The 25,750-nt window shown below is 37.9% G+C and overlaps 2 long non-coding RNA genes across 14 annotated transcripts in view; both read right to left on the bottom strand.

The window, feature by feature from the left end:
• LOC105370461 (uncharacterized) overlaps positions 1 to 25,750 on the bottom strand; it is a 433,650-nt gene that overhangs the window by 344,583 nt on the left and 63,317 nt on the right. The gene's annotated exons all lie outside the window — the stretch shown is intronic.
• The window catches only part of LOC105370460 (uncharacterized), a 39,079-nt gene continuing 20,826 nt past the window's right edge, over positions 7,498 to 25,750 (bottom strand). The window contains exon 3 of the long non-coding RNA XR_001750731.2: positions 7,498 to 7,799. This is a non-coding gene — a long non-coding RNA (uncharacterized LOC105370460). The remainder of the gene's footprint in view (positions 7,800 to 25,750) is intronic.

The raw sequence follows: 25,750 nt of genomic DNA, 5'->3' as shown, positions 1-25,750 counted from the left end.
AACAACTCAACAGCAATTAAAAAAAACAAATAATCCAACCAAAAATGGGCAAAAGATCTGAATAGACAATTCTCAAAAGAAGACATGCAAATGGCCAACAGGTATATGAAAAAAGTGCCCAATATCACTAATCATCAGAGAAATGCAAATCAAAACCACAATGAGATATCATCTTACCCCGGTTAAAATGGCTTATATCAAAAAGACAGGCAATAACAGATGCTGGCAACAATGTGGAGAAAGAGGAACCCTCGTCCAACTGTTGGTAGGAATGTAAATTAGTACATCCATTATGGAGAACATTATGGAGGTTCCTCAAAAGACTAAAAATAGAACTACTATATGATCCAACAATTCTACTACTTGGAACATATCCAAAAGAAAGGAAATCAATATATCAAAGGGATATGTGCACTCCCATATTTGTTGCAGCATTATTCACAATACCCAAAATATGAAGTCAACCTAAGTGCCCATCAACATACAAATCGATAAAGAAAATGTGGTGTATATATACACAATGGAATGTTGTTTAGACATGAGAAATAATGAAATCCTGTCATCTGCAGTATCACGGATGGAACCATTATGTTAAGTGAAATAAGCCAAGAACAGAGAGACAAATATCCCATCTTCTCACTCATATGTAGGAGCTAAAGAAGTGGATCTCATAAAAACAGAGAGTAGAATGATCATTACCAGAGGTCAGAAAATGTAGGGGAGAGGAATAAGGGAAAATTTTATGTTTATATAAAGGTATTTATTTCCAATGAGCTATACACTTAAAAGTGGTAAAGATGGAAAATATTTTATGTGTAAAACAATTGATAGTTTTTATTTATTGTTTTTTATAATTTCAATTTTTACTTTAGATTGAGGAGGTACATGTGCTGGTTTGTTACGTGGGCATATTGCTTGATGCTGAAGTTTGTGATACAAATAATCCCATAACCCAGGTACTGAGCATGATACCTAACAGTTTTTCAATTCTTTCCCTTCTCCTTTCCTCCCTCATCTACTAGCCCCCAGTGTCTACTGTTGCCATCTTTATATCCATGAGTACCCAATATTTAGCTCTCACTTATAAGTGTGAACTTACAGTATTTGAATTTCTGTTCCTGCATAATTTGCCTAGGATAATGGCTCCTAGTTGCATCCATGTTGTTGCAAAGGATATGATTTCATTTTTATGGCTGTGTAGTATTCCACGGTGCATATGTACTACATTTTCTTTATCCAATCCACCATTGATGGGCACCTAGGTTGATTCCATATCTTTGCTATTGTAAATAATGCTGCAATGAATATGTGCATGCCCGTGTCTCTTTGGCAGAATTATTTGTTTTCTTTTGGATATATAGCCTGTGATAGGATTGCTGAGTCAGATGGTAGTTGTTTTAAATTCTTTGAGAAATCTCTAAACTGAATGGCCGAACTAATTTACATCCCCACCGGCAGTGTATAAGCATTCCTTTTTCTCTGCAGTCCCACCACCATGTTTGTTTGTTTGTTTGTTTTGACTAACAGCCATTCCAATTGGTGTAAAATGGTATCTCATGGTGCTTCTGATTTGCCTTTCTATGATGATTAATGATATTGAGCATCTTTTCATATGTTTGTTAGCCACTTGTATGCCTTCTTTTGAAAAGTATCTGTTCATGTCTTTTGCCTACTTTTTAATAGGGTTATTTGTCTTTATTGAATTGTTTTAGTTCCTCACAGATTCTGGATATTACACCTTTGTCAAATGTATAGTATGCAAATATTTTCTCCCATTCTGTAGGTTGTCTGTTTATTCTGTTGATAAGTTTATTTTATTGTGCAGAAGCTCTTCAGTTTAATTAGGTCCCATTTGTCAATTTTTGTTTTAATTGAGATTGCTTTTGCGGACTTAGTCGTAAATTCTTTCTCAGGCCGCCAATGTCCACAATGGTGTTTCCTAAGTTTTCTTCCAGGATTTTTTTTCTTTTTTGAGACAGAGTCTCACTCTGTCGCCCAGGCTGGAGTGCAGTGGCACGATCTCACTGCAAGCTCTGCCTCCCAGGTTCGCATGAACCTGAGGCATCCTCCTGCCTCAGCCTCCCAAGTAGCTGGAACCACAGGATCCCACCACCACACCCAGCTAATTTTTTGTATTTTTATTAGAGACTCTGCTAGGATTCTTATAGCTTTAGGTCTACATTTAAATCTTTAATCCATCTTGTATATGGTGAAAGGTAAAGGTCCAGTTTCACTCTTCAGCCTGTGGCTAGTCAGCTATCCCGCCATTTATTGAATAAGGATTTCTTTCCCCATTGCTTATTTTTGTTGGTTTTGTCGAAGATCTGGTGACTGTATAGGTGTGTGGCTTAATTTTGGATTCTCTATCCTGTTTCATTGGTCTGTGAGTCTGTCTTTGTACCAGTAATACGTTATTTTGGTTACTGTAGCCTTATAATATTGTAAAATTGGGTAATGTGATGTCCCCAGCTTTATTCTTTTGGTTTAGGATTGTTTTGGTGAATTGGGCTCTTTTTTGGTTCCATATGACTTTTAGAATCATTTTTTTCTAATTCTGTGAAAAATGACATTGGTAGTTTGATAGGGATAGCAGTGAATCTGTAGATTGCATTGGGCAGAATGGCCTTTTTTTACAGTATTGATTCTTCAAGTCCACGAACATGGAATGTTTTTCCACTTGTTTGCGTCATCTCTGGTTTTTTTCAACAGCGTTTTATAGTTCTCTTTGTAAAGATTTTTTCATTTCCTTAGTTAGATATATTTCTAGGTATTTTAATTTTTTTTCAGTTTTTGTAAATGTAATAACATTCTCAATTTGACTCTCAGCTTGAACATTATTGGTGTACATTCCATGCTCATGGGTAGGAAGAATCATTATTGTGAAAATGGCCATACTGCTCAAGGTAATTTATAGATTCAATGCCATCCCCATCAAGCTACCAATGACTTTCTTCACATAATTGGAAAAAACTACTTCAAAGTTCATATGGAACCAAAAAAGAGCCCGCATCACCAAGTCAATCCCAAGCCAAAAGAACAAAGCTGGAGGCGTCACACTACCTGACTTCAAACTATACTACAAGGCTACAGTAACCAAAACAGCATGGTACTGGTACCAAAACAGAGATATAGATCTATGGAACAGAACAGAGCCCTCAGAAATAACGCCGTGTATCTACAACTATCTGATCTTTGACAAACCTGACAAAAAGAAGAAATGGGGAAAGCATTCCCTATTTAATAAATGGTGCTGGGAAAACTGGCTAGCCATATGTAGAAAGCTGAAACTGGATCCCTTCCTTACACCTTATACAAAAATTAATTCAAGATGGATTAAAGACTTAAACGTTAGACTTAAAAACATAAAAACCCTAGAAGAAAACGTAGGCATTACCATTCAGGACATAGGCATGGGCAAGGACTTCATGTCTAAAACACCAAAAGCAATGGCGACAAAAGCCAAAATTGACAAATGGGATCTAATTAAACTAAAGAGCTTCTGCACAGCAAAAGAAACTACCATCAGAGTGAACAGGCAACCTACAAAATGGGAGAAAATTTTCGCAACCTACTCATCTGACAAAGGGCTAATATCCAGAATCTACAATGAACTCAAACAAATTTACAAGAAAAAAACAAACAACCCCATCAAAAAGTGGGCAAAGGACATGAACAGACACTTCTCAAAAGAAGACATTTATGCAGCCAAAAAACACATGAAAAAATGCTCACCATCACTGGCCATCAGAGAAATGCAAATCAAAACCACAATGAGATACCATCTCACACCAGTTAGAATGGCAATCATTAAAAAGTCAGGAAACAACAGGTGCTGGAGAGGATGTGGAGAAATAGGAACACTTTTACACTGTTGGTGGGACTGTAAACTAGTTCAACCATTGTGGAAGTAAGTGTGGCGATTCCTCAGGGATCTAGAACTAGAAATACCATTTGACCCAGCCATCCCATTACTGGGTATATACCCAAAGGACTACAAATCATGCTGCTATAAAGACACATGCACACGTATGTTTATTGCGGCACTATTCACAATAGCAAAGACTTGGAACCAACCCAAATGTCCAACAATGATAGACTGGATTAAGAAAATGTGGCACATATACACCATGGAATACTATGCAGCCATAAAAAATGATGAGTTCATGTCCTTTGTAGGGACATGGATGAAATCATCCATGGAAATCATCATTCTCAGTAAACTATCGCAAGAACAAAAAACCAAACACTGCATATTCTCACTCATAGATGGAAATTGAACAATGAGAACACATGGACACAGGAAGGGGAACATCACACTCTGGGGACTGTTGTGGGTTGGGGGGAGGGGGGTAGGGATAGCTTTAGGAGATATACCTAATGCTAAATGACGAGTTAATGGGTGCAGCACACCAGCAAGGCACATGTATACATATGTAACTAACCTGCACATTGTGCACATGTACCCTAAAACTTAAAGTATAATAATAATAAAATTTAAAAAAAACACATAAAAAAAAGAAAAAAAAAAGAAATACTACTGATTTTTGTACATTGATTTTGTATCCTGAAACTTTACTGAAGTTATTTGTCAGTTCCAGGAGCTTTTTGCTGGAGTCTTTAGGGTTTTCTAGGTATAAAATCATACTGTCAGCAAAGAGAGATAGTTTGACTTCTTCTTTTCCCATTTGGATGCCTTTTATTTCTTTCTCTTGCCTGATTTCTCTGGCTAGGACTTCCAAGTAAATTTTATATGTATATTTTATCGCAACTTAAAAAGTGTAAATTTAAAAAAATTTTTAATCTTTGTGGGTACATAGTAGATATAAATGTTTATAGGATACATGAGGTATTTTGATGTAGGCATACAGGATGTGATAATCACATCAGGAAAAATGGGTATCCATCACCTCACACATTTATCATTTATTTGTATTACAAACATTCCAATTATACTCTTTTAGTTATTTTTAAATGTATAACAAATTATTGTTGACTGTAGTCACTCTGTTATGCTACCAAATACTAGGTTTCATTCATTCTATCTAACTATATTTTTGAACCCATTAACTATCCCCGTGTGTCCCCACCTCCACCCACTACTCTTCCCAGCCTCTGGTAACCATCATTCTGCAAACTTTTTAAAAACACTTTAGACAACATTTTATTACTTAGCTTATATGACACACTGTGGCAACTATATAAGACACAGAAAAAATGCATAAATATCCAAATGAGTGCATTTGGAATTTTATACTGTGAACACTAACTTCCTGAAATAACTGTTTACATTACCCTAAGCCACTAATACTCAAGTTTCCTGATCTCAGGATCCCTTTATCATCTTCAAAATTATGGAAGATCCCAAGGAGATTTTGCTTATGTGCATCCTATCACTCATTATCACATTAGACATTAAAACTGAGAAAATATCTACATATGTATTCATTCATTTATTTAAAAATCATAATAAACTCAACATATTAACATAAGAGCCATAATGTCATCACTTTATGTAGTCTCTGGAGGTGAAAAGTGAAAAATTATTCTGAGTATTAATATGCAACATTTTTGACCTTGCAGACTTGCTGAAAAAGAGAACTACTTTGAGAACTGCGCTTAAAAACTTCTGCTAATTGATAGCAAAATTTGGATTTGTCTACTAAGTTAGTAAGAAAATGCAGTTTTCAGAAGAGAAAACTTGTCTAGGTAACCAATCTTAGTATTTTCAAAAATAATTCAGGCCCAAGGACCAAAACCAGTGCTATAACTTCCAATCTCAGTTCACAGATAAAACTAGCATTAGCACAACATGGGTACATTCACAGACAGTAGTAACATTTATGAAATGCAAATGACCATCAGCAATTAGTTAAGTGGGACAATGATTGGTTTTAAAAATCAATTGAATGATTTATGACTGTTGAATTCATTAGAGTTAATTACATATCAATATTGCAATTAACTTATAAAAGTGATAAACTATGCTTCTGTTTATTTTGTGTAGTTTAAAATATCTTCTATATGCTAAAATTCCTGGGGATAGTTAAATAAGCACTGGGGCCAGATCTGGCAAAATAGCTAATTAAGAATATTTACACAGTATTTGTGCATGTGTATATGTATGTGTGTGGCAAATATATATTTATTTTTGCATCTATAAATATGCATATATATTCACAAATTTCCCAGTCTTCTCAATTTGCCATATTAATTTCATTTTTAACCAGAATCAAAATATGAACACTGTTCCACATCAATGAACAAAATTATGAATATTTTAAATAATTTTTGATGTCTATATAGTGAACATTTTGTTGTCCTCCATCAATCCCCCCAACCCCATACTCAAACAGTTCCCTACAGGGTCTCAATTTATACAATCTGAATGGACATCAAATTGATTAAAAAAGAAAGTTGATTAACAACCCCAAAAAGTGCCCATTCTAAAACTAGACTATAAACATCTCAAGAGTAGAGATTTTGTCTATTTTCTTAAGTACTGAAACCCAGGCACTAGTATAGAGTCTAACAAATAATAGGTATGTAATAAACATCAGTAGGATAAATGAACAGACACATAAAGGTAAGTAACTACCTTAATGACATGTGTAACCAAAATTTACCAATGTGAGTTACTGTTCCACATTTTCGGATTGAGACAACAGTGTTTGGGTTTAACAGTTTGCAAAGCTAGGTGTTTTAAGATCAAATATAGCAAACTATTTCCTATAAATAAGAGCCATTTCCTTAAGTATAGATTCTCAATACTCTGAAACACAGAAAGTCACTAAAGTTATTCCTCTCCTTTTTGGGAGGATATAAAATTGTTTAATTTTAATACAATTGCCAAATAAAATATCTGTGATGGTTACTTTTGTGTGTCAACTTGACTAGGCTAAGGGATATCTAGAGAGCTGCTAAATATTATTTCTGGGTACAAGTATGAGACTGTTTCTAGAAGAGATTAGCATTTAAATCAGTAGACTGAGTAAGGAAGATCTGCTCTCACAAATATCTGTGGGCATCATTCAATCCATTGAGGGCCTGAATAGAACAAAAAGGCAGAGGAAGGGCAAGTTTACTTTCTCTGCTTGAGCTGAGATATTCATTTTCTCCTACCTTTGGACATTGACACAAGTGGTTTTTGGGCTTTTGGATTTATACCCAACAGCCCTCTGATTCTCAGGCCTTTTTTGACTTGCACTGAATCACACCACCAGAATTTATGGTTCTCCAGTTTGCAGATAGCAGGCCATGGCACTTCTTAGCCTCCGTAACCATATGAGCCACTTCCTATAATAAATCCCCTCATCTATATCTATAGTCATATATTTAGATAGATGATAGATAGGTAGATAGATAGATAGATAGATAGATAGATAGATAGATAGATAGATATCTCCTATTGGTTCTGTTTCTCTGTAAAATTCTGACTAATACAATATGTTTCTCCTATTTCCCAACAGTAATAATTATCATGAGTTGTTCTACAAGGCATTTTTTAAGTGAGAGCAAGTTTATTGGAGAAGTGAAGAAACAAAAGAATGAGCTGCTTAAATCAAAACCAAAATGCATTTACTATTTACCAAAGAATCCAGTTAAAAGCAATATTTAAAGAATAAATTCCCAGAAGATGTTACAACCTAAGATTTTATTCTCAAACTAGTTTTACTCTGTTTTTTCCACGTTCCACTTTCTGGTAATTTCAAATCATCCTTTCTTCATTCAGTTTCTCCCTCCACCTTTTTTTCTTCCATTGGGGTATTTTCTTGAAGAAACTGTAGCCAATTCTGGTTAGTCTAAGTCAAAACATAAACTTATTAATAGAATACAGAGATAATTAACAGAATTAAAGAAAAATTGAAAACATAATACCCAGGATTGGAAAGAACAACCGCAACTCTGGAGATCTCAAAAACAGGAGTTCATGGACTTTATTGAAGAGCACTGCCATTGATGTGACCAGATCCCCAAAACTTCTAGTTTCTGTATGTCTCAATTCCAAGTTTTAAATTCTTTGGAGAAATAATCTAATTGACCTAGGTTGGATAAGGTATGCCCTCTTAGACAAGTTTGTTACACACAGAAACTAACTTACAGAAGGTCACTGTATAGATGTGGTCAATGGATGCACACTGACCATGTTGGAGATTATTCCAGGTAATGGGCAATTCCTTTGAGTTAAACAGTGAACATACAAGGTATCTACTACAGGTATCATCATAAACTTAATCATCTTTGCTCATTTATTTGTTGTAAATTGATGCAATGTTCTGAACTCCTGTGTCTTTTCTGATCACTAAGGATCATTCATGAGTTTTTCTGGCAAATGCTAAAAAGATTTTAGAATGACTAAAAGAAAATAGCTAAAATCAATATATTAAAAAATCATATTTGAGGCAACCACAATCTGGTATATTGCTAGACTTAGGCTGAAAGATAAAATTAAAGTTCAGAGAAAACAAATTAGATGAAATAAAAATAATTCAAAGTGATAACCTCCAACAAATAATAAAAATTTTAAAGCACTATCTATATCATTTATAAAGAAAAGTCAACATTACCATGCTTTAGTAAAATGACACACCACCATAATTGGAAGGATGGATTGAATAATTTGAAATCATTTAGCTTAAGTATGTTTTAGGTTTGTATTATTCCCCTAAACCTGAATCTATGTTTGCCAAAAAAGAATTTATAATCATTGGATTAGTTTTTTTAATTTAATTTTATTTTATTTTAATTATTATTATACTTTAAGTTTTAGGGTACAGGTGCACAATGTGCAGGTTAGTTACATATGTATACATGTGCCATGCTGGTGTGCTGCACCCATCAACTTGTCATTTAGCATTAGGTGTATCTCCTAAAGCTATCCCTCCCCCCTCCCCCCACACCACAACAGTCCCCAGAATGTGATGTTCCCCTTCCTGTGTCCATGTGTTCTCATTGTTCAATTCCCACCTATGAGTGAGAATATGCAGTGTTTGGTTTTTTGTTCTTGCGATAGTTTACTGAGAATGATGATTTCCAATTTCATCCATGTCCCTACAAAGGACATGAACTCATCATTTTTTATGGCTGCATAGTATTCCATGGTGTATATGTGCCACATTTTCTTAATCCAGTCTATCATTGTTGGACATTTGGGTTGGTTCCAAGTCTTTGCTATTGTGAATAATGCCGCAATAAACATACGTGTGCATGTGTCTTTATAGCAGCATGATTTGTAGTCCTTTGGGTATATACCCAGTAATGGGATGGCTGGGTCAAATGGTATTTCTAGTTCTAGATCCCTGAGGAATCGCCACACTTACTTCCACAATGGTTGAACTAGTTTACAGTCCCACCAACAGTGTAAAAGTGTTCCTATTTCTCCACATCCTCTCCAGCACCTGTTGTTTCCTGACTTTTTAATGATTGCCATTCTAACTGGTGTGAGATGGTATCTTATTGTGGTTTTGATTTGCGTTTCTCTGATGGCCAGTGATGGTGAGCATTTTTTCATGTGTTTTTTGGCTGCATAAATGTCTTCTTTTGAGAAGTGTCTGTTCATGTCCTTTGCCCACTTTTTGATGGGGTTGTTTGTTTTTTTCTTGTAAATTTGTTTGAGTTCATTGTAGATTCTGGATATTAGCCCTTTGTCAGATGAGTAAGTTGCAAAAATTTTCTCCCATTTTGTAGGTTGCCTGTTCACTCTGATGGTAGTTTCTTTTGCTGTGCAGAAGCTCTTTAGTTTAATTAGATCCCATTTGTCAATTTTGGCTTTTGTCGCCATTGCTTTTGGTGTTTTAGACATGAAGTCCTTGCACATGCCTATGTCCTGAATGGTAATGCCTAGGTTTTCTTCTAGGGTTTTTATGGTTTTAGGTCTAACGTTTAAGTCTTTAATCCATCTTGAATTAATTTTTGTATAAGGTGTAAGGAAGGGATCCAGTTTCAGCTTTCTACATATGGCTAGCCAGTTTTCCCAGCACCATTTATTAAATAGGGAATCCTTTCCCCATTTCTTCTTTTTGTCAGGTTTGTCAAAGATCAGATAGTTGTAGATACACGGCATTATTTCTGAGGGCTCTGTTCTGTTCCATTGATCTATATCTCTGTTTTGGTACCAGTACCATGCTGTTTTGGTTACTGTAGCCTTGTAGTATAGTTTGAAGTCAGGTAGCGTGATGCCTCCAGCTTTGTTCTTTTGGCTTGGGATTGACTTGGCGATGCGGGCTCTTTTTTGGTTCCATATGAACTTTGAAGTAGTTTTTTCCAATTATGTGAAGACAGTCATTGGTAGCTTGATGGGGATGGCATTGAATCTGTAAATTACCTTGGGCAGTATGGCCATTTTCACAATATTGATTCTTCCTACCCATGAGCATGGAATGCTCTTCCATTTGTTTGTATCCTCTTTTATTTCATTGAGCAGTGGTTTGTAGTTCTCCTTTGAAGAGGTCCCTCACGTCCCTTGTAAGCTGGATTCCTAGGTATTTGATTCTCTTTGAAGCAATTGTGAATGGGAGTTCACTCATGATTTGGCTCTCTGTTTGTCTGTTATTGGTGTATAAATGCTTGGTTTTTAAAGTATTCATGTCTACCCAGAAAATGGTTCCTACAGAGAGAACAAAATAAAGTCGTTGCTGGCCCTGTCACCATCACCATATAAACTTAAATATTGGTGTTAATCTAAAACAGTAATTCCTCTTCCGTAAATTAAGTTATTATGAGACCATGTCTGAACTAGATCAACTCTTAAGACCATATAATTTAGACTTTAAAAGTTAAGCGTTCTTATTTTGAAAGTTTAAAGACAAACAGAAGTTTATGGATACAGAATATAAAAGATAAGATGCTCTGGATCACTAAAGTGTATGCTAAAAAAAAAGTGGTGTGGGGGAGAAAAGAACAGGTGCACATGATTTAATGAAAATACACTGTGCTGCACTGTGAGATGAGTTAAACAAAGATGATAGAAACCTCAAAGAAATAGAAGTGTTTTTTATTTCATTAATTTATTCTTTTTAAATTCTTTTATTCAATATGGAGATAGGAATATAGACTAACCTTCTTTGGCTACACATAATTAATTCAATCTAATTTTTTAGTGAACATAGCCTTTTTTTTATTTCAATAGGTTTTTAGGGAACAGGTGGTGTTTGGTTACATGAATCAGTTCTTTAGTGGTGACTTCTGAGATTTTGGTGCACCCATCACCCAAGCAATATACACTGTATGCAATGTGTGGTTTTTTCATCCCTCACCACCCTCTAACACTTTCTCCTGGATGGTAGATCTATTTTTAGTTCTATAAGGAATCTCCTCACTGTTTTCCATAGTGGTTGTACTAGCTTACATTCCCACCAACAATGTGAAAGTGTTCCCTTTTCACAACATCTATTTCAACATTCAATTCTGTTAATTATCTCTGTATTCTATTAATAAGTTTATGTTTTGACTTAGACTAACCAGAATTGGCTACAGTTTCTTCAAGAAAATACCCCAATGGAAGAAAAAAAGAGGGAGGAAGAAACTGAATGAAGAAAGGATGATTTGAAATTACCAGAAAGTGGTAATTTATTCTCATTTGAGGATAAAATCTTAGGTTGTTACATCTTCAGGGAATTTATTCTTTAAATACTACTTTTAACTGGATTCTTTGGTAAATAGGAAATGCATTTTGGCTTTGATTTAAGCAGCTCATTCTTTCGTTTCTTTACTTCTCTAATAAATCCTAATAAATCTCTAGTGAATCCCCAAAGTCCACTGTATCATTCTTATGCCTTTGTGTGCTCAGAGCTTAAATCCCACTCATGAGTGAGGACATACGATGTTTGGTTTTCCATTCCAGAGCTACTTCACTTATAATAATGGTCTCCAATTCCATCCAGGTTGCCGTGAATACCATTATTTTGTTCTTTTTTATGGCTGAGTAGTATTCCATGGTGTGTATGTGTGTGTGTGTGTGTGTGTATGTATATATATATATATATTTATATAAAATCACATTTTCTTTATACATTCCATTATTTTGTCCCTTTTTATGGCTGAGTAGTATTCCATGGAATACATATATACCATATAGTATATATATACCACATTTTCTTTATACATTCATTGATTGATGGGCATTTGATCTGGTTCCATATTTTTGCAACTGCAGACTGTGTTGCTATAAACATGCATGTGCAAGTATCTTTCTCGTATAATGACTTCTTTTGCTCTCGGTAGATACTCAGCAGTGAAACTGCTGCATGAAATGGTAGACTTACTTTTAGTTCTATAAGGAATCTCCTCAGTGTTTTCCATAGTGGTTGTACTAGCTTACATTCCCACTAACAGTGTAAAAGTGTTCCCTTTTCACAACATCCATTTCAACATCTATTTTTTTTTATTTTTTTTATTATGGCCATTCTTGCAGAAGTAAGATGATATCACAATGCAATTTTAATTTGCATTTCCTGATAATTAGTGATGTTGACAATTTTTTATATGTTTGTTGGCCATTTAAATATCTTCTTTTGAGATCTGTCTATTAATGTCTTTAGCCCACTTTTTGAGGGGATTTTTTTTTCTTGCTAATTTGAGTTTCTTGTAGATTCCGGATATTAGGTCACCAGGGAAGTGGGGGAAAGCCAGCAGTGACAGGCCTCACCCCTCTCCCATGCAGCTAAACAGACCAATCTCATGCCCACCATGCTCCCCCAACAGCATCGAGTTTATATCCAGGCAACCAGTGAGCAGGGCTGAGAACTTGCCCCAGGCTACAAGTCTCCTCACTGAGAGAACAACCAGGACTTTCAGGCTTCACCCCCTCCTCCACCATGGTGTCTTTGCTCATACCTGCACTTTCCATTCACCTTCCCAACCCTGAGATTCTGCCCTGGAAAATTTGCACTCAGCTGAAATTATTACAACATTCAGCTGAAAGTTTATTTCTCCCTCTGGCACTCCCCAAATTCCACTGGCAGTCCTCCTCAAGGACCCTTGTGAGATAAAGTCAGAAATGGCTTCCCTGGGCCTTTCTGGGGACTGGGAGTGCCTACAGGGCTCTTCCCACTGCTTCTTCTACTTTTATGTTTCGCTCAGCTCTCTACATTCATTTCAGCTCTAGGTAAAGTTAAATCCTTCTCTCGTGATCTGGATTTTCAGGCCTCCAGTGAGGGTGTCTGGACAGAGGCTGACTTTCACCTTCTCACACTTTGGGGAAAAATTTTTCAGCTGTCTCATGGAGTTTGCAGCAGCAAGCTGTTTCTTTCAAAGGGTTTGTGAATTCTTTCAGTTTTTCTGCTATGTTCCTGTGTTAGTTCTTGGAATAAAAGTTCATGATGTGAGTCTCCACACCTTGTTTGTCTATCCAAGTGGCAGCTGCAAGTTAGTCCTGCCTCCTATTCACCATTTTCCCCTGATTTCTAAACTGAAGATTTCTATCTTAAATTTAAAAGTTCCATAGGGAAGAAAGATACTAAAAGAACAACACTGATCTCAGAAATTTTCAAATTAACCACCTCAAACTGAATTTTTATGATGGGCATTTATATTCTGTCTTTCAAAAGTAAATTCAGAGCTTAATCTTGGATTGATTTGGAGCTCAGAAATGTCCATTCAATTACTAAACTTGCTATTCTTGGCTGAAGTGAAAGATTTTAACATAAAGCCTAATCCTTTTTATTAATTAGGTAGTTCCTAAATGGAACCACAGGTTGGTGAGGTTCTGATGAAGTTTTCACCACTATGAAATAAAATGATAAAAATAAAAGCAATGTAGTAAGTTTTTCATAGTGCTAAACTTGGTTTTTATTATTATAGATAATATCTGTGTTTTAATTAATTTTTAGTGTATGTCATCATTATTCACTAAGTATTATGGATAACAGTATAAATAGTAAATACTAGACAGAATGTACAGTTAAGATATGACCCTAAATTGTCTTGCTAATTAACAAATTAGTATGACAATTCTATTAGTCTGGGTTCAATAAAGAGGCAGAAACCATATCAGCCATTTGGACAGAAAGAATTTAATACAAAGAACTGAAAACTGGAGGACAAAAGAGACCCCCTAAGAAATCATAGATAGAGCAACTTTACAGAAATAGGTACCACTGATAGAGTTGGGGAAACAAGGGAAGAGGTTGTTAAAACTTAGAAATGTGGAAGAAGGATCCCATGGGGACCCAAACCTCTGAAGAAGAGATGCCACTTGCTTGGTGCACATGTTGGGAACAAAGGGGATTGTACATGATAAATTTTTTTCTTCGGGTGTTGGAAAATTTGCATACTAGCTTTAGATAAACTATAGGAGGAGACCAGGGACAGTGGCTCATGTCTATAATCCCAGCACTTTGGGAGGCCAAGACTGGTGGACCACTTGAGGCCAGGAGTTTAAGACTAGCCTTGCCAACATGGCAAAATCCCGTCTCTACAAAAAATTAGCCAGGTGTGGTGCCCCATGCCTGTAATCCCAGCTACTCAGGAGGCTGAGGCACAAGAATTTTCTGCGGAGGCAGAGGTTGCAGTGAGCCAAGATCACACCACTGCACCCCAGCTTGAGCTACAGAGGAGACGCAATCTCAAAATATATATATAGGAGGGAATTTTACCTGCCTGGTGAGGAAGTGTTGCAGGACTGATGCTCACAGGAACAGACAGAAGGCAGAAAGAAAGCTGCAAGCCCATGGAAAGAATCAAGTCCTTTCTCACCCGGCCTACCAGTCTCCCTTTTAAACCCCCTACTGGTATACCCCAACAGAAAGCAGCTTATAAAGTCAAAATGGGGTCCACAGAGTCACCACCCCAGGATCACAGGACCAAGTATAAAAGGGCTTAAGAACTTAAGAACTTAATAATTTATACAATGTTGGGTTTTTTCAATTAAAATTTTACTCATCTATAAAATAATGGCATCATTTGTAGAAACTTTATGGGTAGTTCAGTTCTCATTCCATTTTTAACGTGATTAATAGGAATAAAGATATTTGGAATACTTTGCTCTTTTTAAAACACTCTGAAATACACAATCTCATTTGATTCTTACATAGTAGATGATCTGAAATATTCCTGTTTCTTTGTTGATAATTCTACTTCTCAGAAAACAGAGTAACCAATAAGGAAATTGCTATTCTGAACCTAATTCTAACAAAGAGAAACTTATTCGAGAAGTGAAGTAACAAAGATGCTGAGAGAAAGAAAACATGCTTTCACTCACCTTTGAATCCATGTAACCAGAGAAGGAAATGCTGGGCTACCACTCTCAGTCCACACTGTGATTTTCAGATTTTAAAAAATATCCCTCAACAATGCCCTCTCCTTTGAAACTCTCATGTCTATATATAACCACTATTCTCTTCCCATCCACATTACCATGATTACCAACCTCCAAACCACTCCCTCAAAATCAGTAAGACTCCATGCATCCCAGGTAGTGACATCATCAAGGTTGCCAAGTCGATTTGACTTCTCTCCCACATGAAGGGACCAAAACAATAAATAAACAACTATATGTCAACTAAAGTGACTGAGGAAGTATGCTAGCAGACACCAGGGGAGCAGCAATATCCCTGTGGAGAACAGAAGCACAGATAGCACCATAGAGAGGTGAGAAAGGCACCCTGACTTTGCCACATTGTCTCCCAAGATCAGCTTGAAGTCAGGGGGAACTTCTTACAGGGAAGAGGTATGCTGGATATATGCAGTGGTGCCCATTACCACCACAAATGCCAGTCCTTGCTACAGGAGAGTCCTCCAGTCCTCAAAAGCTCCAAATTCAGTTTGGAGAGTAATCAGGAGTTTGCTTAGCTGCATTGCCTCAGAAAAGCCTACCTTGAGCACCTCCCACCTCAACAATGTAAGCTGCTATGCTCAATGCCTTGTTGACACTGGACCCTCAGCTAGAGTGTGCCCTGCACTAAGAGCCAGTCTCTATCTCTGTGACAGAATCTCACTGTCTCTGAGACTCGCCATCATTCTACCAAGTTCATCTGGATGCCTGCAGCACTATGACCCCAGCTGTGTGAAGCCTAGGCCACATAACAACTGAGACCCTGGCATCTGAACCTACATAGCACACTACCCCCACTCCCAGGGAACAGGCAAACCTATACAGTAAGGAAGCCGCTGAACAGCTGGCCAGCCACTTCACAAACACCTGTGCTGCAAAGCTGACTAGATCACTGAGCCCATATGTGCCCATGCCCAGCCTGACAGCTAGTCCTGTGGTATCCCTGCTTTCGTGGATACACCACTGCAGGGCCACCTGGCACCACCACACCCACACTCACCCCAACATCCAGTCCAGCGGCAGCTCTGCCTCTCCAGAAAGCCCACCAGATAGCCTGTCAGCCCTCTGTGACTGCATGTACCCAGCCTGACAACCAGACCAGTGCCCCTGCTCCCAGCAAACCTGTGCCAATACCATCAAAACTCCCACAGCCTAGGTCACTGAAGCAATCACAGACATCACTGATGAGAATAATAGCTGAAGAAACTGCATGGGGACCATGTTACTGAGTTCACCAGAAATAAAGCCAACGCACCATACCCAATTAATACTCTAGATGCGTCTACAAGAAAAAGATCTCTTCCTACAAAAGCTACTCCATAAAACAAACAAAAAAAAATCCCTATTCTATTAGATGTGCAGATATCAACAAAGGGACACAAGAAACAAGAAAAAGTAAGGACATGACACTCCCAAAGGAACATAGTCTCTAGTAACAGGCTCCGAAGGAAAGGACATTTATGAAATGCTTGAAAAGAAGTTCAAAATAATGATCTTAAGGAAATTCAGTGAGATACAAGAGAACACAAACAATTTAATGAAACTAAGAAAACATTCATGTTCTGAATGAGAAATTCAACAAAGAGATAGACATTAAAAAGAATGATATTAAAATGACCAAACTGAAATCTTGGAGGTGAAGAAAAGAAATAACTAAAATCAGAGCAGAACTAAATGAAATTGAGATCCAAAAACCATACAAAGAATCAATGAAGTAAAAAATTAGTTCTTTGAAAGGATAAACAAGATTGATAGATGGCTACCTAGATTAACAAAGAAAAAAAAGATTATCCAAGTAAGCACAATCAGAAATGACAAAGGGTGACATTACAACTGATTCCACAGACACATAAAAGGCCCCCAGAGTCTACTATGAACATTGCTATGCATACAGATTAGAAAAATCTAGAGGAAATGAATAAATTCCTGAAAACACAAAACCTCCTACGATTGAAGCAGGAAGAAACAGAAATCCTGAACATACTGATAATGAGTAATGAAATTGAATCAGTAATAAAAAAGACCTACCAACCAAAAAAAAAGCCCTGGACCAGATGGATTCACAGCCAAATTTTACCGCACATACAAAGAAGGGCTGGAACCAATCCTATTGAAACATTCCAAAAATTCAAGGAGAGACTCCTCCCTAACTCCCAATAGATGCAGAAAAAGATTTTGATAAACTCTAATATCCCTTCATGATAAAATTCCTCAACAAACTAGCCATCAAAGGAACATAGCTAAAAATAATAAGTGCCACCTCTGACAAACCCATGGCTAACATCATAGTGAATAGGCAAAGTTGGAGGCATCTAAGAACTGGAAAAAAACAAGGATGTCAACCTCACTACTTGTATTCAACATAGTACTGGAAGTCCTAGCCAAAGCAATCGTCAGGAGACAAAAATAAAAGTTATCCAAATAGAAAAAAAGGAAGTCAAATTGTCTCTCTTCACTGATGATAGCATTCTATACCTTAAAAACCCAAAGGTTCTGCCAAAAGACTCCTAGACCTGATAAACAACTTCAGCAAAGTTTCAGAATGCAAAATCAATGTATAAAAGTCAGTAGCATTTTTTTTTCTTTTTTGGGGGGGGATACGGAGTCTTGCTCTCTTGCCCAAATCAAAAACACACTCCCATTCACAACAGTTGAAAAGAAAAAAATACCTAGAAATACATCTACCCAAAGAGATTAAAGATTGCTGCAATGAGAACTACAAAACACTGCTGAAAGAAATCAGGGATGACACAAACACATGGAAAAACATTCCACATACATGGATTGGAAGGATCAATATAATTAAAATGGCCATACTGCTCAATGCAATCTACAAATTCAATGCTATTCCTATGAAATTACCAATGTCATTTTTCACAGAATTATAACTATTCTAAAATTCATACTGAACAAAAAAAAGCCTGAATAGTCAAAATGATCCTAAGCAAAAAGAACAAAGCTGGAAGCAACACATTACCCAACTTCAAATTATACTACAAGGCTACAGTAAACAAAACATGATACTGATACAAAAACAGACACATAGACCAAGGTAACAGGATACAGACCCCTGAAATAAAGCTGCACACCTATATCCATCTGATCTTTGACAAAGTCAACAAAAATAAGCAATGGGGAAACCCTATTCAATAAATGGTGTTGCAAAAAGTGGCTAACCATATGCAGAAGAATGAAACTGGACCTCTACCTTTCACCATATGCAAAAATCAACTAAGATGGATTAAAGACTTAAATGTAAGACTTCAAATTATGAAAATCCTAAAAGAAAACCTAAGAAATACTCTTCCAGACATTGGCCTAAGCAAAGAATTTATGATTAAGTCCTCAAAAGTAAGTGCAACAAAAGCAAAAACTGACAAGTGAGACCTACTTAACCAACGAGCTTCTGCACAACAGAAGAAACTATCAACAGAGTAAACAGACAGCCTACAGAATGGGAGAAAATATGTACAAACTATACATCCAACAAAGGACTAGTGCCCAGAATCTATAAGGAACTAAACAAATCAACAAGCAAAAGTCAAATAACCCCATTAAAATTGGGCAGGCCGGGCATGGTGGCTCACAGCTGTAATCCCAGCAATTTGGGAGGCAGAGGTGGGTGAGTTCCTTGAGCCCAGGAGTTCAAGACCAGCCTGGGCAATAAAATGAGACCTCGCCTCCATCAAAAAACTAAAAATTAGCTGGGTGTGTTTACGTACACCTGTGGTCCCAGCTACTCAAGAGGCTAAGGTGGGAGGATTGCTTGAGCCCCAGAGGTCGAGGCTGCAGCAAGTCATGATCATGCCACTGCACTCCAGCCTAGGCAACAGGGCAAGGCCTTGTCTCAAAAAAAAAAAAAAAATGGGCAAAGGATATGAACAGACACTGCTCAAAAGAAGACATACAAGCAGCCAAGAAACATACAAAAAAAATGCTCAGCATCACTAATCATTAGAGAAATGCAAATCAAAACTACGGTGAGATACCATCTAATACCAGCCAGAATGGCTATTAATAAAAAGTCAAAAAATAATGGATAACGGTGAGGTTGCAGAGAAAAGGGAATGCTTATACAATGTTGGTGAGAATGTAAACTACCTCAGCCCCTGTGAAAAGCAGTTTGGAGATTTCTCAAAGAACAGAAAATAAAATTATCATTCAACCCAACAATCCTATTACTGGGTATATACCCAAAGAAAAATCAATCATTCTATTAATACCAAAAAGTTACATGCATTCACATGTTTAGTGCAGCACTATTCACAATAGCAAAGACATGAAATCAACCCAGGCACCTATCAATGGTGGATTGGATAAAGAAAATGTGGTACTTACGCAGCATAGAATACTACACAGACATAAAAATAGAATGAAATCATGTCCTTTGAAGTAACATGGATGCAACTGAAGGCCACTGTCATGGGCAAATTAACGCAGCAACAGAAAACCAAATACCACATATTCTCGTAAGTGGAAGCTAAATACTGGGTACAAATGGAACAAAGACAGGAACAACAGACACTAGGAATTCCAAAAAAAGGGAGAAAAGAGGGAGGGGTAAGTGTTGAAAACTACCTATCAGGTACTGTATCTGCCACTTGGGTCATGGGATCATTAGAATTTCAAACCTCAGCATCACACAATCTACCTGTGTAACAAACCTGCACCTGCACCCCTTGAACCTAAAATTAAAAAGTAAAAAGACTCTTCAATAAATGGTGCTGGGAAAAGTGGATATCCATATACAGAAGAATGAGACTAGATCTCTACCTTGCACCATATACAAAAATCAAATCAAAATGGATTAAGATTTAAATGTAAAATCTGAAACTATAAAATAGAATAAAACATAGAGGAAACACTTCACGACATGGGGCTGGGTAATAATTTTTTTAAAATAAGACTTCAAAAGTGCAGGCAACAAAAGCAAAAACAGACAAATGGGATTACAGCAATATGAAAAGCTTTTACACAGCAATGGAAACAACAGAGAGAAAATAAAACCTACAGAATAGGAGAAAATATTTGCAAACTATGTATCTGACAAGGAGTTACTGCCCAGATTATGTTTTTAAAAACTTGCATAACTCAATAGCAGAAAAAAAATCTGATTTAAAAGTGAGCAAATGACCTGAGTAGATATTTCTCAAAAGGACACCAAAAATGCCCAACAGGTGTATGAAAAAATGTGCAACATCTCTAATTATCAGGAAAATGCAAATCAAAACCACAATGAGATGCAACCTCATGCCAGTCAGAATGGCTATTGTCAAAAATACAAAAGAAAACAAGTGTTGATAAGGATGTGAAAAAAGGGGAACACTTACACACTGCTGGTAGGATTGTAAGCTAATACAGCCATTATAAAAAACTATATGGAGGTTCCTCAAAAAATTAAAAATAGAACCACTACCTATCAAATAATTTCACTACTGGGTATATATACAAGGTAAATGAGATCAGTACGATGAAGACATATATACTTCCCCATGTTTATTGCAGCACTAGTTCCAATGGCCAAGATATGGAATCAACTTACATGTCCAACAATGGATGAATACAGAAAATGTGGTATATATGCACAATGGAATACTCTTCAGCCATAAAAAAGAATAAAATCCTGTTATTTGCAACAACATCAATGTAATGTAATCTGTGATGAATCTAGATGACATCATGTTAAGTGAAATAAGCCAGATACAGAAAGGCAAATACCGTATGATCTCACTTAGACATGGAATCTGAAAAAATTCACATGTTGATTTTATAGCAGCAGAGAGTAGATCAATGGTTACCAGAAACTGGGGAGGGAAGGGAGGGAAGGGAGGGAAGGGAGGAGAGAAAGATGGGGAGAGGTTAATCAACAGGTACAAAGTTACAATTAGATAGGAGGAATAAATTCTGGTGTTCTATTGCACAGTAGGGTGACTAGGGTTGACAGCAAAATATTGTGTATCACAAAATAGCTAGAGGAGAGGTTTTTGAATGGTCTCACCACAAACAAATGCATGAAGTGAAGGACACATTAACTATCCTGATGGGATCATTATACAACATGATCCATATACAGATATGTACTGAAACATCAAATTGTACCCTATAAACATATACACTTACAATGTGACAATTTTTAAAATAAGCAGTTAAAGAAAAGACTTCAGGCATCTGGTTCAGCATTCTCCTTTATACTACAAGTCTTGTCACATCATAGCTGATTTAATCATACATGTGAAGATCCACTGAACTGTAACCTCACAGTTGTCTGACCTAGACTCCTAAAACATGTTTGGCCACTACAGCACTCCTCTCTCAGAACTATGCCCACTGGATTGTCATCATGCAGGTTTGCTACATTTCTGAAATCCTGGATTCCAAAACTCCAACTAAGTTCTGAAATCATTTCACTCATCTGAAGGCTTACCCCAGTAAACTTGCCTGTCTAAGCACTTTCTCAGCTTTTCATCTCTCAGCTTCTTCCTTTTAATTATGAATTTGTAACTTAACCAGGAGTGAACAGTGAACAAGCATGTACAAAGCAAATTATAACATGTCCTCCAATGCCACCCCCTGCCTCTATTAAATCCTTTCTTAGAAGTCTCCTCTGCTCTCTGTGGCATGTGGCATTGCTGACTCCTCTCAACTCTCTGGCTCTTTTCCTGGTTTATTTTCTACCTCTTTGCCTATTGTCTGACTTCTCTTTCTACTCATTGAACATAAATGCTATAAAGGGCTCTACCATTAACTTTCTTTTCTCTCTTTTTATACTATCCTTTTCAAATCCTGCCCAACCTCATGCTCATGAATTACCTCTGTCAGTAGTTATCAAACATGGTTGTACATTAGAATCATCTGGGGAGCTTTACAAACTATAAAAATACCAGGTCCTTACCCTATACTAATTAAATCTGCATCACTGACCAAACTGATTAAATCAAAATTTTTAGCCTTACCAATTAAATCAGAATCTCTGGGGTCCAGCACATGTACTTTTTAAAGCTCTCTAGGTGCTACTGAAGTGCAGCTATCTTGAGTACTGCTATATGCAGATAAATTTAAAATCTTATGCTTCTAGTCTGACTTCTCTTCTGATCTCCCATTCCACATTTCCAAATTTGTTGGCCATGTCTCTTGGGTTGTCACACCAGTGTTTTCACTTGAAAAATCCAAAATCGAACTCATTAATTTCCCATGTAAGTATATTCTTCTTAAGAACTTACGCACTTCTTATGCCCTTATACACTTTTATTAATGAAATCATTGTTCTCATGACCCAGGAAGGAAACCTCAGAATAATCTGACTCTTCTCTCTTCCTTGCTATCAACATCTAATTAGTTGTTAAGAACTGCTAAGTCCAGCTCTCTTTTTTCTAATCCTCATACCCAGTTCATCTCACTTCCACTGTCATCAAATTAGAGTATCTGTCTGTCAGTTCTCAAAAGTCATTATATCAGCTTCCAATTTTTTTTTGAGACAGGCTCTCTCTCTGTCACCCAGGCTGGAGTACAGTAGCACCATCATGGTTCACTGCAGTCTCAACTGCCCAGGCTCAAGTGATCCTCTCACCTCAGCCTCCCAAGTAGCTCGGACTACAGGTGCACATCACCATGCCTGCTAATTTCTTTATTTTTTGTAAAGATGTAGCTCCAATCTAATTTGATCTCTAGTCCTCCAACTCCAGATTATCCAAAAGATCCTAATATCTTCATATAACAGAGCTCTCATGTAACCCCTCTGCTCAAGGACCTTCAGGGTTCCTGACAATCTACAAAAGGAATTCCAAATGACTTAGCATTCAAAGCCTTTTCAGCCATATTTTCCTCTGCTCCATTTTATTTGCTGTTCGTGCTAACCAAATTGGAATATGTGCAATTAGTCCACACATGCCTCAGGATTTCCAGCTTCTGTGACTATTAACTACTGATATGGTTTAGCTCCGTCCTCTCCCAAATCTCATCTTGGACTTGAGTTCACATAATCCCCACATGTCACAGGAGGACTTGGTGGGAGGTAAATGAATAATGGGGATGGTGACCTCCATGCTGTTCTAGTGATAGTGAGTTCTCACAAGATCTGATAGTTTTATAAGGGGCTTTCCCCCCCGTCACTCTTGTATTAGTCTGTTTTCATGCTGCTAATAAAGATATACCTAAGAATGGGCAATTTACAAAAGAAAGAGGTTTAACTGGACTTATAGTTCCATGTGGCTGGGGAACCCTCACAATCATGGTGGAAGACAAGGAGGAGCAAGTCACGTTTTACATGGATGGCAGCAGGCAAAGAGAGGGTGCTTGTGCAGGGAAACTCCCCCTTATGGAACCATCAGATCTTGTGAGACTTATTCACTACCATGAGAACAGCACAGGAAAGACCTGCCCCCATGATTCAATTGCCTCCCACCAGGTCCCTCCCACAACACATGCGAATTCAATATGAGATTTGGGTGGGGACACAGAGCCAAACTATATCATTCTGCCCCTGGGCCATCCCAAATCTCATGTCCTCATATTTCAAAACCAATCATGCCTTCCCAACAGTCCCCCAAAGTCTTAACTCATTTCAGCATTAACTCGAAAGTCCACTGTCCAAAGTCTCATCTGAGACAAGGCAAGTCCCTTCTGCCTGTGAGCCTGTAAAATCAAAAGCAAGTTAGTTACTTCCTAGATACAATAGGGGTACAGGCAATGGATAAATACAGCCATTCCAAACGGCAGAAATTGGACAAAACAAAGGGGTTACAGGCCCCATGAAAGTCCAAAATCCAGTGGGGCAGTCAAACCTTAAAGATCCAAAATGATCTCCTTTGACTCCATGTCTCACACCCAGGGCATGCTGATGTAAGAGGTGGGTTCCTATGGTCATGGGCAGCTCCACCCCTGTGGCTTTGCAGGGTACAGCCCCACTCCCTGCTGCTTTCATGGGCTGGTGTTGAGTGTTTGCAGCTTTTCCAGGCACACATTGCATGCTGTCAGTGGATCTACCATTCTGGGGTCTGCAGGATGGTGACTTTCTTCTCACAGCTCCACTACATGGTGCCCCAGTGGGGACTATGTGTGGGGGCTCCCACCTGACATTTTCCTTCTGCACTGCCTTAGCAGAGGTTCATGAGGGCCCTGCCCCGGTGGCAAACTTCTGCCTGGACATCCAAGCATTTCCATACATCCTCTGAAATCTAGGAAGATGTTTCCAAACCCCAATTCTTGATTTCTGTGCACTGGCAGGCTCAACACCACATGGAAGCTGCCAAGGCTTCAGGCTTGCACCCTCTGAAGCCATGGCCTGAGCTCTACATTGGCCCCTTTTAGCCACAGCTAGAGTGGCTGGGACATAAGGCACCAAGTCCCTAGGCTGCACACAGCACGGGACCCTGGGCCCAGACCACAAAACCACTTTTCCTCCTAGGCCTCTAGGCCTGTAATGGGAAGGGCTGCCATGAAGACCTCTGACATGCCCTGGAGACATTTTCCCCATTGTCTTGGGGATTAACATTCAGCTCCTCATTACATATGCAAATTTCTGCAGCCGGCTTGGATTTTTCCTCATAAAATGGGATTTTCTTTTCTATCACATTGTCAGGCTGCAAATTTTCCAAACTTTCATGCTCTGCTTCCCTTATAAAACTGAATGCCTTTAACCACATCCTAGTTACATCTTGAATGCTTTGCTGCTTGGAAATTTCTTCCGCCAGATACCCTAAATCATCTCTCAAGTTCAAAGTTCAACAAATCTCTAAGGCAGGGGCAAAATGCTGCCAGTCTCTTTGCTGAAATATAACAAGAGTCACCTCTGCTCCAGTTCCCAAGTTCCTCATCTCCATCTGAGACCACCTCAGCCTGGACTTTATTTTCCATATCACTATCAGCATTTTGGGCAAAGCCATTCAACAAGTCTCTAGGAAGTTCCAAACTGTCCCACATTTTCCTGTCTTCTTCTGAGCCCTCCAAACTGTTCCAATCCCTGCCCGTTACACAGTTCCAAAGTCGCTTGCACATTTTCAGGTATCTTTTCAGCAGCACCCCATGCTACCAGTACCAATTTACTGTATTAGTTCATTTCATTCTGCTGATAAAAACATACCTGAGACTGGGCAATTTACAAAGGAAAGAGGTTTAACAGAGAACTCACAATTCCACGTGGCTGGGGAAGCCTCAAAATCATGGTGGAAGGCAAAGAGGAGCAAGTCACATCTTACATGGATGGCAGCAGGCAAAGAGAGAGAGCTTGTGCAGGGAAACTCCCCCTTGTAGAACCATAAGATCTCATGAGACTTATTCACTATCATGAGAACAGCACGGGAAATATCTGCCCCCATCATTCAATCATCTCCCACTGGGTCCCTCCCACAACACATGGGAATTCAAGATGAGATCTGGGTGGGGACACAGCCAAATCATATCAGCTCTGCACTTTTCCTTGCTGCCTCCATGTGAAGGATGTGTTTGCTTCCTCTTCTGCCATGATTGTAAGTTTCATGAGGCCTC

The sequence above is a fragment of the Homo sapiens genome, chromosome 14 (genome assembly GCF_000001405.40).
Source record: "Homo sapiens chromosome 14, GRCh38.p14 Primary Assembly".
Lineage (NCBI taxonomy): Eukaryota > Metazoa > Chordata > Mammalia > Primates > Hominidae > Homo > Homo sapiens.
Note: the sequence above shows the minus strand (reverse complement) of the source record. Positions and strands in the feature narration are given on the sequence as shown.